At 64.7% G+C, this 12,850-nt stretch overlaps 2 protein-coding genes across 16 annotated transcripts in view, besides 6 other annotated features; one reads left to right on the top strand and one right to left on the bottom strand.

Moving 5' to 3' along the window:
• The window catches only part of LRRC56 (leucine rich repeat containing 56), a 48,451-nt gene that overhangs the window by 14,868 nt on the left and 20,733 nt on the right, over positions 1–12,850 (bottom strand). For 4 of the 12 annotated variants that reach the window (XM_011519876.2, NM_001441283.1, NM_001441285.1 and 1 more), the window contains exons 1-3: positions 2,440–2,518; positions 1,185–1,447; positions 319–465 (exon numbers count right to left, since the gene is read on the bottom strand). The gene's annotated coding sequence lies outside the window, so the exon portion shown is untranslated. Of the gene's footprint in view, positions 1–318; positions 466–1,184; positions 1,523–2,439; positions 2,519–11,707; positions 11,887–12,850 lie in introns of those variants that run through there. The other 8 variants (XM_047426336.1, XM_017017167.2, XM_017017168.2 and 5 more) reach the window with 5 other exon arrangements.
• Positions 3,810–4,517: an enhancer, noted in NCBI's record as "H3K27ac-H3K4me1 hESC enhancer chr11:535528-536235 (GRCh37/hg19 assembly coordinates)". NCBI's record gives its function as "activates a minimal SCP1, AML or CMV promoter by ChIP-STARR-seq in naive H9 embryonic stem cells {active_cell/tissue: H9 hESC(naive)}" and the evidence as "EXISTENCE:reporter gene assay evidence [ECO:0000049][PMID:30033119]".
• On the top strand, positions 4,469–7,803 carry HRAS (HRas proto-oncogene, GTPase). 4 transcript variants are annotated; one of them, NM_001318054.2, is made up of 7 exons: positions 4,469–4,629; positions 5,670–5,833; positions 6,101–6,279; positions 6,433–6,592; positions 6,687–6,768; positions 7,290–7,414; positions 7,523–7,803. In NM_001318054.2, the coding sequence occupies exons 4-6, from the start codon at positions 6,462–6,464 to the stop codon at positions 7,407–7,409; spliced, it is 333 nt and encodes a 110-aa protein (NP_001304983.1). In that variant the 5' UTR covers positions 4,469–4,629; positions 5,670–5,833; positions 6,101–6,279; positions 6,433–6,461; the 3' UTR covers positions 7,410–7,414; positions 7,523–7,803. The 4 variants fall into 4 exon arrangements, with proteins under 4 accessions (NP_001304983.1, NP_005334.1, NP_789765.1 ...); NM_005343.4 differs by lacking the exon at positions 6,687–6,768; NM_176795.5 differs by having other exon boundaries at positions 7,290–7,803.
• Positions 4,539–5,395: an enhancer, noted in NCBI's record as "H3K27ac-H3K4me1 hESC enhancer chr11:534650-535506 (GRCh37/hg19 assembly coordinates)". NCBI's record gives its function as "activates a minimal SCP1, AML or CMV promoter by ChIP-STARR-seq in primed H9 embryonic stem cells {active_cell/tissue: H9 hESC(primed)}" and the evidence as "EXISTENCE:reporter gene assay evidence [ECO:0000049][PMID:30033119]".
• Positions 5,373–5,532: a silencer, noted in NCBI's record as "fragment chr11:534513-534672 (GRCh37/hg19 assembly coordinates)". NCBI's record gives its function as "represses an EF-1alpha promoter that drives an FKBP-Casp9 reporter gene in an ReSE screen in phorbol 12-myristate 13-acetate-treated (for megakaryocytic differentiation) K562 erythroleukemia cells {active_cell/tissue: K562(+PMA)}" and the evidence as "EXISTENCE:reporter gene assay evidence [ECO:0000049][PMID:32094911]".
• Positions 5,373–6,253: a biological region, named in NCBI's record as "H3K27ac-H3K4me1 hESC enhancer GRCh37_chr11:533792-534649".
• Positions 5,396–6,253: an enhancer, noted in NCBI's record as "H3K27ac-H3K4me1 hESC enhancer chr11:533792-534649 (GRCh37/hg19 assembly coordinates)". NCBI's record gives its function as "activates a minimal SCP1, AML or CMV promoter by ChIP-STARR-seq in primed H9 embryonic stem cells {active_cell/tissue: H9 hESC(primed)}" and the evidence as "EXISTENCE:reporter gene assay evidence [ECO:0000049][PMID:30033119]".
• Positions 11,003–11,540: an enhancer, noted in NCBI's record as "H3K4me1 hESC enhancer chr11:528505-529042 (GRCh37/hg19 assembly coordinates)". NCBI's record gives its function as "activates a minimal SCP1, AML or CMV promoter by ChIP-STARR-seq in naive H9 embryonic stem cells {active_cell/tissue: H9 hESC(naive)}" and the evidence as "EXISTENCE:reporter gene assay evidence [ECO:0000049][PMID:30033119]".

The raw sequence follows: 12,850 nt of genomic DNA, 5'->3' as shown, positions 1-12,850 counted from the left end.
TGGAATGGGCCAGGCTGAGGTCACAGCACCTAGAGGTGAGCAGATCAGCCCAGGACCTGACTATCCACGGACCCAGCTGGCGAGGAGGAAGAGAGTCAGGTGTGTGACCGATGCTGGGGTACCTCTGGGTCCCCCAACACAATGCCTGCTGCTCATCCAAATCCCACTTCCCTCCTTCTCCACAGGGGTCCTCTCTTGCACCCTGTTCTTCCTGAGCCCCTCCCCAGGCCTCTGAGGGTATTGGCCCAGTGTGTCCCTCTCTTGCATCCCATTCTTCCTAAGCCCAGTGTGTCCCTCGACTACGTGCATCAGGCTTACCTGGTGTTGCCCCTTAAAGATGCAGACGTCTGGCGGGGCGCAGTGGCTCACGCCTGTAATCCCAGCACTTTGGGAGGCCGCGGCGGGCAGATCACGAGGTCAGGAGATTGAGACCATCCTGGCTAACACGGTGAAACCCTGTCTCTACTAAAAATACAAAAAAAAAAAAAAAAAAATTAGCTGGCGTGGTGGCAGGTGCCTGTAGTCCCAGCTACTTGGGAGGCTGAGGCAGGAGAATGCCATGAACCCGCGAGGCGGAGCTTGCAGTGAGACAAGATCGCGCCACTGTCCTCCAGCCTGGGCAACAGAGCAAGACTCTGTCTCAAAAAAAAAAAAAAAAAAGGCTGGGTGCGGTGGCTCACACCTGTAATCCCAGCACTTTGGGAGGCTGAGGCGGGCAGATCACAAGATCAGGAGATCAAGACCATCCTGGCTAACGAGGTGAAACCCCATCTCTACTAAAGATACAAAAAACATAGTTAGCCAGGCGTGGTGGCGGACGCCTGTAGTCCCAGCTACTTGGGAGGCTGAGGCTGGGGAATGGCATGAACCCAGGAGGTGGAGCTTGCAGTGAGCCAAGATGGCACCACTGCACTCCAGCCTGGGCGACAGAGAGAGACTCCATCTCAAAAAACAAACAAACAAACAAAGATGCAGACATCTGCCTCGGCCCCAGGCCCTGGAATCATGAGCTCCAGGCGTGGAGTGACAAGTGTGCTCGGAGCGTCCAGTGTCCTCCTCCCTGACCACCTTCATGTGTCTTCAGTCTGGACCTGGACTGATCCCCTGACTGCACTCCCCACCCAGCCTTCCCAGATTTATCTTCCTGATGAGACGAGTTCCCTTCGGAGCCCTGTGTGTCTTACTACGTGTTCGGTTGAGGGCCTGCCTCGCCCCAGAGCTGTGGGCTGCACGTGGCCTGCACGTGGCCTGCGTGCTCCTCTGCTGTCCACAGTCGCAGGAGGGGATGCTCAAATATTTGTCGAAGGAATCCGTGAACAGGCAGATGCACATGTAGCCACTTAGAACGTTCTGGCCATGGCTTTTATCTGTTGACCACGTGTGGACACTGAAGATGCATCCTCTCCATCCCGTCTAGAGCTGCCCCTGTGCCAGGCGAGTTGGCCGGCTGTTGACAGAGGTGGTGGGTGGGAGTGTTGGAGCGGGGCAGTGGCTCAGGCTCTGGGTGCCTCACTGGCCTGGTCTGGAAGGTGACCATGCACCAAGGATCAAAGAAGTGAAGCCCAAAGCAGAATCTCATGGAGTTTCCAGCCCAAATCTCCCCCACTGCCTGCCTTTCTCCAGCCAGTGCAAGGCCCCAGGCCTCACAGCAGGACCCCAACACTGCATCCCCCCAAAGACTCTGGCCACCTCCATCCCAGGCCTGCCAGCCTCGAGCCTCATGGAGGGCGTGAGCTGGCGGGGTCACGGGCAGCCCCTGGACACCTATGGGTGACACTAAGGGCTGAGTCAGCTACCCTTGTCTCCTCTGTGCCCAAGAGCCCCAAGCATCAGACTGGTCTGAGCCCCAAGGCCTGGGGGTGCAAGGGGTTGGAGGCTGTGGGATCCAAAGACCCCATTGAACTCCCACCTCAGACACTGCACCTAGTGTTCTCACCCAGGCCTGAACCCATCCACACACTTCACGGCCCTGCTCCCACCCTGTGTCCCCTCTGCAAGCCCCCATGCTCCCCAAATTGGTAACTGGGGGGCCTGTCTCCACACCCCTGCTAGTGCCATTCCCTGGTGGGTAGCCATCACCTCTGGGTCCCCTGCTGCCCTCGCCCCTTCACCATGGGGGCTCGGAAGGCAGAGCCCGCTCCCCTCCTGAGCCCCACCCTGGAACCCTGAGCACCCTGGGTCATTGCCTCTGAGTCTCCCTCAGGGGCAGGGCTTGGGGCCCCTCCTGTCTCCTGACAGGGAGCCCTTTCAGTGCAGGGCCAGGGGGTGGTGGAGGCAAGGGTCCTCAGGGGACCAGATCTGACATGCGGGGCCATCACTGGGTCCCCGATGGCTGTGCTGCTTCGTCCCCGCGCCCACGCCTCGGCGCAGGTTCCCTCCTGGCACCGGTCATAGGGCGAGGCTTGCGGCTCCCACCCCAAGGGTGCGCTCGGCTCTCACCTGAGGGCTCAGCCTAGGTGTCCGGCCCTGGCAGCTCGGCCCTGGGCGCCCTCCACCTCCAGGCGCTGTCTCCTACTCCAGGCTGTTCTTCCGGCCGCCGCGGGGTTGCGGCCTGGGCGCCATAGCAACGGGAGCCAGGCCTCATTTGAATACGCAAATATTTATAAGTCGCCGGGGGCTCGGGTTCCGTGCGGCTGAGCCACGCCCCTTAGCAACGGTCGCTAGGGCGGGGCCACGTGGACTGGCACGTGCGTGGGCGCCCCTGCTGCGGGCGATCCCAGGGGAAGGTGACGCGCCACCAACTCGAGTTGGGTGGGCGCAGGCGCGTCAGGTGCCAGCTTCCTGCGGCTCCGTGCCTGGGCCGTCGCGATGCACGTGTCGCGTTTCCTCGCGATCCTGGCGCTTCCCACGCGGGGCGGGTAAAGGCGGTCTCTGCTGGAGGCTCGCGCCCACCTTTCCCAGGTGGAAGGGTCGCCCCTGGGGCCGAGGCCTGCCGTCCTGACCTTCGGTTGGAAGTGAGGCCGACGGCAAAAGGAAGCACCGGGGGAAGCGCCCCCGAGGACCAGGAAACACACACCGGACGCCGGAGCGCACCCGAGTGCCCGGCCCGCGGGACACGCTGCCGCCCGCCGTCCAGTCGCCGCTTCTCACTCGCGTTCATGCGTGTCCGCCCCGAGCCGAGCTCTGACTGCGACCGCGCGGTGGACGGACGGCAGGCGGGACCCCCGGGACCGCACGTGGGTGGAGCCCCGGGTCAGCAGCGACCGGCGCAGGAGGGCGAGGCGGGCGCTGGACTGGGCAGAGGCAGGGTTTGCCTGACTGTAAAACGCCTTTTTTGTTTTGAGACGAAGTAGCGCTCTGTTGCCCAGTGCAGTGGCGCGATTTCGGCTCACCGCAACATCCGCCTCCCGGGTTCCAGCGATTCTCCTGCCTCAGCCTCCCGAGTAGCTGGGACTACAGGCGCGCGCCACTGCAGCCGACTAATTTTTTGTGTTTTTAGTAGAGACAGGGTTTCATCATGTTGGCCAGGCTGGTCTTGAACTCCTGACCTCAAGTAATCCACCCGCTTAGGCCTCCCGAAGTGCTGGGATTATAGGCGTGAGCCACCGCGCCCGGCCCTTTTTGTTTTTTAATGAGGATGTATTTCTGATTCCTTTGCAATTTTAAAAAATGTTAAAAACATGTCTTTTTGGGTTTGAAAGAGCTAGGATGTGCGTCTATGTGCTTGGGGTGAGCCCTGGGCACTTCGCTCCCCTGTGGCAACTTGTGGGTACGGTTTAACTGGACCACGCTGAGCTTCTGCAGCGTTGGAACCTCAAGTTTGGGGGGACTGGGCGGGCAGGGTCGCCTGCCACGCAGGCCCGAGAAAGAGGAGAGTGGTGGAGGGGGCGTTCTCACGCCTGGCCCCAGGGCACACGGCTGCGCCCGCCGCCCGGAACCCCACCGGGGCTGCAAGCGTCCTCGGGGTGGGTTGCGGTGGGAGTAGGGGAGCTGGGGTGCGTGGTGGTAGGTGGGGTGCGCGGCCGCTCCACCTGCGCGGAAGGGCAGCCGGGCAACCGGACCCCGCGGCCACCCGGGGGCCCCCAGCTCCGAGCATCCCGCCTTGGTCCCGGCGGATCCCAGCCTTTCCCCAGCCCGTAGCCCCGGGACCTCCGCGGTGGGCGGCGCCGCGCTGCCGGCGCAGGGAGGGCCTCTGGTGCACCGGCACCGCTGAGTCGGGTTCTCTCGCCGGCCTGTTCCCGGGAGAGCCCGGGGCCCTGCTCGGAGATGCCGCCCCGGGCCCCCAGACACCGGCTCCCTGGCCTTCCTCGAGCAACCCCGAGCTCGGCTCCGGTCTCCAGCCAAGCCCAACCCCGAGAGGCCGCGGCCCTACTGGCTCCGCCTCCCGCGTTGCTCCCGGAAGCCCCGCCCGACCGCGGCTCCTGACAGACGGGCCGCTCAGCCAACCGGGGTGGGGCGGGGCCCGATGGCGCGCAGCCAATGGTAGGCCGCGCCTGGCAGACGGACGGGCGCGGGGCGGGGCGTGCGCAGGCCCGCCCGAGTCTCCGCCGCCCGTGCCCTGCGCCCGCAACCCGAGCCGCACCCGCCGCGGACGGAGCCCATGCGCGGGGCGAACCGCGCGCCCCCGCCCCCGCCCCGCCCCGGCCTCGGCCCCGGCCCTGGCCCCGGGGGCAGTCGCGCCTGTGAACGGTGAGTGCGGGCAGGGATCGGCCGGGCCGCGCGCCCTCCTCGCCCCCAGGCGGCAGCAATACGCGCGGCGCGGGCCGGGGGCGCGGGGCCGGCGGGCGTAAGCGGCGGCGGCGGCGGCGGCGGCGGGTGGGTGGGGCCGGGCGGGGCCCGCGGGCACAGGTGAGCGGGCGTCGGGGGCTGCGGCGGGCGGGGGCCCCTTCCTCCCTGGGGCCTGCGGGAATCCGGGCCCCACCCGTGGCCTCGCGCTGGGCACGGTCCCCACGCCGGCGTACCCGGGAGCCTCGGGCCCGGCGCCCTCACACCCGGGGGCGTCTGGGAGGAGGCGGCCGCGGCCACGGCACGCCCGGGCACCCCCGATTCAGCATCACAGGTCGCGGACCAGGCCGGGGGCCTCAGCCCCAGTGCCTTTTCCCTCTCCGGGTCTCCCGCGCCGCTTCTCGGCCCCTTCCTGTCGCTCAGTCCCTGCTTCCCAGGAGCTCCTCTGTCTTCTCCAGCTTTCTGTGGCTGAAAGATGCCCCCGGTTCCCCGCCGGGGGTGCGGGGCGCTGCCCGGGTCTGCCCTCCCCTCGGCGGCGCCTAGTACGCAGTAGGCGCTCAGCAAATACTTGTCGGAGGCACCAGCGCCGCGGGGCCTGCAGGCTGGCACTAGCCTGCCCGGGCACGCCGTGGCGCGCTCCGCCGTGGCCAGACCTGTTCTGGAGGACGGTAACCTCAGCCCTCGGGCGCCTCCCTTTAGCCTTTCTGCCGACCCAGCAGCTTCTAATTTGGGTGCGTGGTTGAGAGCGCTCAGCTGTCAGCCCTGCCTTTGAGGGCTGGGTCCCTTTTCCCATCACTGGGTCATTAAGAGCAAGTGGGGGCGAGGCGACAGCCCTCCCGCACGCTGGGTTGCAGCTGCACAGGTAGGCACGCTGCAGTCCTTGCTGCCTGGCGTTGGGGCCCAGGGACCGCTGTGGGTTTGCCCTTCAGATGGCCCTGCCAGCAGCTGCCCTGTGGGGCCTGGGGCTGGGCCTGGGCCTGGCTGAGCAGGGCCCTCCTTGGCAGGTGGGGCAGGAGACCCTGTAGGAGGACCCCGGGCCGCAGGCCCCTGAGGAGCGATGACGGAATATAAGCTGGTGGTGGTGGGCGCCGGCGGTGTGGGCAAGAGTGCGCTGACCATCCAGCTGATCCAGAACCATTTTGTGGACGAATACGACCCCACTATAGAGGTGAGCCTGGCGCCGCCGTCCAGGTGCCAGCAGCTGCTGCGGGCGAGCCCAGGACACAGCCAGGATAGGGCTGGCTGCAGCCCCTGGTCCCCTGCATGGTGCTGTGGCCCTGTCTCCTGCTTCCTCTAGAGGAGGGGAGTCCCTCGTCTCAGCACCCCAGGAGAGGAGGGGGCATGAGGGGCATGAGAGGTACCAGGGAGAGGCTGGCTGTGTGAACTCCCCCCACGGAAGGTCCTGAGGGGGTCCCTGAGCCCTGTCCTCCTGCAGGATTCCTACCGGAAGCAGGTGGTCATTGATGGGGAGACGTGCCTGTTGGACATCCTGGATACCGCCGGCCAGGAGGAGTACAGCGCCATGCGGGACCAGTACATGCGCACCGGGGAGGGCTTCCTGTGTGTGTTTGCCATCAACAACACCAAGTCTTTTGAGGACATCCACCAGTACAGGTGAACCCCGTGAGGCTGGCCCGGGAGCCCACGCCGCACAGGTGGGGCCAGGCCGGCTGCGTCCAGGCAGGGGCCTCCTGTCCTCTCTGCGCATGTCCTGGATGCCGCTGCGCCTGCAGCCCCCGTAGCCAGCTCTCGCTTTCCACCTCTCAGGGAGCAGATCAAACGGGTGAAGGACTCGGATGACGTGCCCATGGTGCTGGTGGGGAACAAGTGTGACCTGGCTGCACGCACTGTGGAATCTCGGCAGGCTCAGGACCTCGCCCGAAGCTACGGCATCCCCTACATCGAGACCTCGGCCAAGACCCGGCAGGTGAGGCAGCTCTCCACCCCACAGCTAGCCAGGGACCCGCCCCGCCCCGCCCCAGCCAGGGAGCAGCACTCACTGACCCTCTCCCTTGACACAGGGCAGCCGCTCTGGCTCTAGCTCCAGCTCCGGGACCCTCTGGGACCCCCCGGGACCCATGTGACCCAGCGGCCCCTCGCGCTGTAAGTCTCCCGGGACGGCAGGGCAGTGAGGGAGGCGAGGGCCGGGGTCTGGGCTCACGCCCTGCAGTCCTGGGCCGACACAGCTCCGGGGAAGGCGGAGGTCCTTGGGGAGAGCTGCCCTGAGCCAGGCCGGAGCGGTGACCCTGGGGCCCGGCCCCTCTTGTCCCCAGAGTGTCCCACGGGCACCTGTTGGTTCTGAGTCTTAGTGGGGCTACTGGGGACACGGGCCGTAGCTGAGTCGAGAGCTGGGTGCAGGGTGGTCAAACCCTGGCCAGACCTGGAGTTCAGGAGGGCCCCGGGCCACCCTGACCTTTGAGGGGCTGCTGTAGCATGATGCGGGTGGCCCTGGGCACTTCGAGATGGCCAGAGTCCAGCTTCCCGTGTGTGTGGTGGGCCTGGGGAAGTGGCTGGTGGAGTCGGGAGCTTCGGGCCAGGCAAGGCTTGATCCCACAGCAGGGAGCCCCTCACCCAGGCAGGCGGCCACAGGCCGGTCCCTCCTGATCCCATCCCTCCTTTCCCAGGGAGTGGAGGATGCCTTCTACACGTTGGTGCGTGAGATCCGGCAGCACAAGCTGCGGAAGCTGAACCCTCCTGATGAGAGTGGCCCCGGCTGCATGAGCTGCAAGTGTGTGCTCTCCTGACGCAGGTGAGGGGGACTCCCAGGGCGGCCGCCACGCCCACCGGATGACCCCGGCTCCCCGCCCCTGCCGGTCTCCTGGCCTGCGGTCAGCAGCCTCCCTTGTGCCCCGCCCAGCACAAGCTCAGGACATGGAGGTGCCGGATGCAGGAAGGAGGTGCAGACGGAAGGAGGAGGAAGGAAGGACGGAAGCAAGGAAGGAAGGAAGGGCTGCTGGAGCCCAGTCACCCCGGGACCGTGGGCCGAGGTGACTGCAGACCCTCCCAGGGAGGCTGTGCACAGACTGTCTTGAACATCCCAAATGCCACCGGAACCCCAGCCCTTAGCTCCCCTCCCAGGCCTCTGTGGGCCCTTGTCGGGCACAGATGGGATCACAGTAAATTATTGGATGGTCTTGATCTTGGTTTTCGGCTGAGGGTGGGACACGGTGCGCGTGTGGCCTGGCATGAGGTATGTCGGAACCTCAGGCCTGTCCAGCCCTGGGCTCTCCATAGCCTTTGGGAGGGGGAGGTTGGGAGAGGCCGGTCAGGGGTCTGGGCTGTGGTGCTCTCTCCTCCCGCCTGCCCCAGTGTCCACGGCTTCTGGCAGAGAGCTCTGGACAAGCAGGCAGATCATAAGGACAGAGAGCTTACTGTGCTTCTACCAACTAGGAGGGCGTCCTGGTCCTCCAGAGGGAGGTGGTTTCAGGGGTTGGGGATCTGTGCCGGTGGCTCTGGTCTCTGCTGGGAGCCTTCTTGGCGGTGAGAGGCATCACCTTTCCTGACTTGCTCCCAGCGTGAAATGCACCTGCCAAGAATGGCAGACATAGGGACCCCGCCTCCTGGGCCTTCACATGCCCAGTTTTCTTCGGCTCTGTGGCCTGAAGCGGTCTGTGGACCTTGGAAGTAGGGCTCCAGCACCGACTGGCCTCAGGCCTCTGCCTCATTGGTGGTCGGGTAGCGGCCAGTAGGGCGTGGGAGCCTGGCCATCCCTGCCTCCTGGAGTGGACGAGGTTGGCAGCTGGTCCGTCTGCTCCTGCCCCACTCTCCCCCGCCCCTGCCCTCACCCTACCCTTGCCCCACGCCTGCCTCATGGCTGGTTGCTCTTGGAGCCTGGTAGTGTCACTGGCTCAGCCTTGCTGGGTATACACAGGCTCTGCCACCCACTCTGCTCCAAGGGGCTTGCCCTGCCTTGGGCCAAGTTCTAGGTCTGGCCACAGCCACAGACAGCTCAGTCCCCTGTGTGGTCATCCTGGCTTCTGCTGGGGGCCCACAGCGCCCCTGGTGCCCCTCCCCTCCCAGGGCCCGGGTTGAGGCTGGGCCAGGCCCCTCTGGGACGGGGACTTGTGCCCTGTCAGGGTTCCCTATCCCTGAGGTTGGGGGAGAGCTAGCAGGGCATGCCGCTGGCTGGCCAGGGCTGCAGGGACACTCCCCCTTTTGTCCAGGGAATACCACACTCGCCCTTCTCTCCAGCGAACACCACACTCGCCCTTCTCTCCAGGGGACGCCACACTCCCCCTTCTGTCCAGGGGACGCCACACTCCCCCTTCTCTCCAGGGGACGCCACACTCGCCCTTCTCTCCAGGGGACGCCACACTCGCCCTTCTCTCCAGGGGACGCCACACTCCCCCTTCTGTCCAGGGGACGCCACACTCGCCCTTCTCTCCAGGGGACGCCACACTGGCCCTTCTCTCCAGGGGACGCCACACTCCCCCTTCTGTCCAGGGGACGCCACACTCCCCCTTCTCTCCAGGGGACGCCACACTCCCCCTTCTCTCCAGGGGACGCCACACTGGCCCTTCTCTCCAGGGGACGCCACACTCCCCCTTCTGTCCAGGGGACGCCACACTCGCCCTTCTCTCCAGGGGACGCCACACTCGCCCTTCTCTCCAGGGGACGCCACACTCCCCCTTCTCTCCAGGGGACGCCACACTCCCCCTTCTCTCCAGGGGACGCCACACTCCCCCTTCTCTCCAGGGGACGCCACACTCCCCCTTCTGTCCAGGGGACGCCACACTCGCCCTTCTCTCCAGGGGACGCCACACTCCCCCTTCTCTCCAGGGGACGCCACACTCCCCCTTCTCTCCAGGGGACGCCACACTCCCCCTTCTGTCCAGGGGACGCCACACTCGCCCTTCTCTCCAGGGGACGCCACACTCGCCCTTCTCTCCAGGGGACGCCACACTCGCCCTTCTCTCCAGGGGACGCCACACTTGCCCTTCTGTCCAGGGAATGCCACACTCCCCCTTCTCCCCAGCAGCCTCCGAGTGACCAGCTTCCCCATCGATAGACTTCCCGAGGCCAGGAGCCCTCTAGGGCTGCCGGGTGCCACCCTGGCTCCTTCCACACCGTGCTGGTCACTGCCTGCTGGGGGCGTCAGATGCAGGTGACCCTGTGCAGGAGGTATCTCTGGACCTGCCTCTTGGTCATTACGGGGCTGGGCAGGGCCTGGTATCAGGGCCCCGCTGGGGTTGCAGGGCTGGGCCTGTGCTGTGGTCCTGGGGTGTCCAGGACAGACGTGGAGGGGTCAGGGCCCAGCACCCCTGCTCCATGCTGAACTGTGGGAAGCATCCAGGTCCCTGGGTGGCTTCAACAGGAGTTCCAGCACGGGAACCACTGGACAACCTGGGGTGTGTCCTGATCTGGGGACAGGCCAGCCACACCCCGAGTCCTAGGGACTCCAGAGAGCAGCCCACTGCCCTGGGCTCCACGGAAGCCCCCTCATGCCGCTAGGCCTTGGCCTCGGGGACAGCCCAGCTAGGCCAGTGTGTGGCAGGACCAGGCCCCCATGTGGGAGCTGACCCCTTGGGATTCTGGAGCTGTGCTGATGGGCAGGGGAGAGCCAGCTCCTCCCCTTGAGGGAGGGTCTTGATGCCTGGGGTTACCCGCAGAGGCCTGGGTGCCGGGACGCTCCCCGGTTTGGCTGAAAGGAAAGCAGATGTGGTCAGCTTCTCCACTGAGCCCATCTGGTCTTCCCGGGGCTGGGCCCCATAGATCTGGGTCCCTGTGTGGCCCCCCTGGTCTGATGCCGAGGATACCCCTGCAAACTGCCAATCCCAGAGGACAAGACTGGGAAGTCCCTGCAGGGAGAGCCCATCCCCGCACCCTGACCCACAAGAGGGACTCCTGCTGCCCACCAGGCATCCCTCCAGGGATCCCTCATTGTCCACAACTGCTGGAGAACAGAGGGCTCCGTGTCTGGCTGTCCCACAGTGAGCAGCAGTGAGCGCATCTGAAGTCTGAGCTGCTGAGACCCCCTCCTGCAGGAACCCATCTTCTGGCAAAAACCTGAACTGAGGATCACCCTCTGCCCACACCCACAGGGGCCCATCCTGGTGGCTCCTCCAGTGCCAGGCTCTGCCCCATCAGGGTCTGGGGTCTCAGCCAGATTTGTGTCCAGGGCAGGGAGGCTGCAGAGGTTAGGTTGGGTCCAGCACAGGACAGGGCTGGAGAGCACAGCCAAGGAAGGTCGGGTCCGTCTCCTCCCCTCTGACCTCGGACGTCTCGCCTGTCAAATGGCGTGAGTTCGTATCCACCCCACGGGGTCGCCGTGAGGTGAACGAGACAGTCATTTTCATAGTCCGTGTGGAACAGGCACCCGCTGAGTGCTCAGGGATGGCCCTTGGCAGCCACGTGGAGGCCAGCGCAGGCCACCTGTTAGTGACTGTCACCATACCATGGGGGAGGGCAGCTGTGTTGAGACCCACCTCTCACCTCCGGACGCAGAGCCCCCCCTCGGACACCCACTGTGTCTCCAACTGCTCCGCACACAGCCGGCACTTGGCACCGGTGACGTCATGGGGTGGCTGCACACATCACAATAGGGCCCCGCGCAGGTCAGCTGGGCCTGGAGTCAGCGTCCTCCACCCCCTGAACTGGCAGCATGTGTGTGCACGTGTATGTGGGTGAACGTGTGCGTGTGTGTGTTTCTTCTCCAGCTAGGCCTGGCTGCCCCACTAACGTGCACACAGGTCCTTGTCACTGTCACCCCCGTGGCTCGAGACGATCGTCAGAGCACCCGCGGAGGCACCACACTCGGCCCTCTCCACCCGGGGTGGTCCTGGGGATGCAGACGCGGGGAGGGGGTTGGCCCCCTTCCTCGGTGGACTCAGGTCTTCTGTAAAGGGCTGGGTTCAGTGTCCCTCTGTCTCACCTTCTTGAGCCCTGCTGGGTGTCATGAATGTCCCCCCTTGCTGGAGGCCCTGCGGACAAGCCCCCCTGCCTGAGGTCCCCTAGCAGCCAGCTGACCAGGTCCCACTGATTGACAGGCCCTGCTGGGCTGCCGAGGGGGTGGAGGAAGCCTGTGGGGAGGTGGGGGACTCACCTGTGTGACGTCAGCTTCTGTCCCGGGCGCCGCCTGCCCGTCGGATCACATCCCTGCTCAGGACTCGCCACCAGCTGCCTCCTTACGATGGAGTGATGGAGCCCTCTGATAGCTGAGAGTCCGCCACAGCGATCCCACAAGGCCACGCGTAAACTCTCCCAACATCCATCCAGGGAGGCCTGGATAAAAATGTAGAGTTTCAGGCCGGGCACGGTGGCTCAAGCCTGTAATCCCAGCACTTTGGGAGGCTGAGGCGGGTGGATCACCTGAGGTCAGGAGTTCAAGACCAGCCTGGCCAACACGGTGAAACCCTGTTTCTATTAAAAATACAAAAATTGGCCGGGTGCGGTGGCTCACGCCTGTAATCCCAGCCCTTGGGAGGCCGAGGCGGGCGGATCACCTGAGGTCAGGAGTTCGGGACTAGCCTGACCGACATGGAGAAACCCTGTCTCTACTAAAAAAATACAAAATTAGCCGGGTGTGGTGGTGGATGACTGTAATCCCAGCTACTTGGGAGGCTGAGGCAGGAGAATCGATTGAACCCAGTGGGTGGAGGTTGCGGTGAGCCGAGATCGCGGAATTGCACTCCAGCCTGGGCAACAAGAGCGAAACTCTGTCTCAAAAAAAAAAAAAAAAAAATTAGCCGGGCGTGGTGGCGGGCGCCTGTAATCCCAGCTACTCGGGAGGCTGAGGCAGGAGAATGGCGTGAACCTGGGAGGCAGAGCTTGCAGTGAGCCAAGATAGCGCCACTGCACTCCAGCCTGGGGGACAGAGCAAGACTCCGTCTCAAAAAAACCAAAACTAAACAAAACCCTTACCCTATCGTTTTGCCAAGTGCATGACTCTCTGCTGTGAGGCAGTCAAACTCAGAAGCAGAAAGTAGGGTGGCCGTGGGCAGGGGCTGGGGAGGGGAGCTGGGAGTTGCTGTTCAACTGATAACAGATTTCAGTCTGGGAAGATGCGTGAGTCCCAGAGTTCACTGCGCAAGGTGCTCGTGGTTAGCACAGTGCCACACGGCACGTTGCAAATTTTTTTTTTTGAGATGGAGTCTTGATGTTGGCCAGGCTGGCATGCAGTGGCGCGATCTCAGCTCACTGCAACCTCTACCTCCTGGGTTCAAGTGATTCTCCTGCCTCAGCCTCC

Source organism: Homo sapiens, chromosome 11 (assembly GCF_000001405.40).
Source record: "Homo sapiens chromosome 11, GRCh38.p14 Primary Assembly".
NCBI lineage: Eukaryota > Metazoa > Chordata > Mammalia > Primates > Hominidae > Homo > Homo sapiens.
Note: the sequence above shows the minus strand (reverse complement) of the source record. Positions and strands in the feature narration are given on the sequence as shown.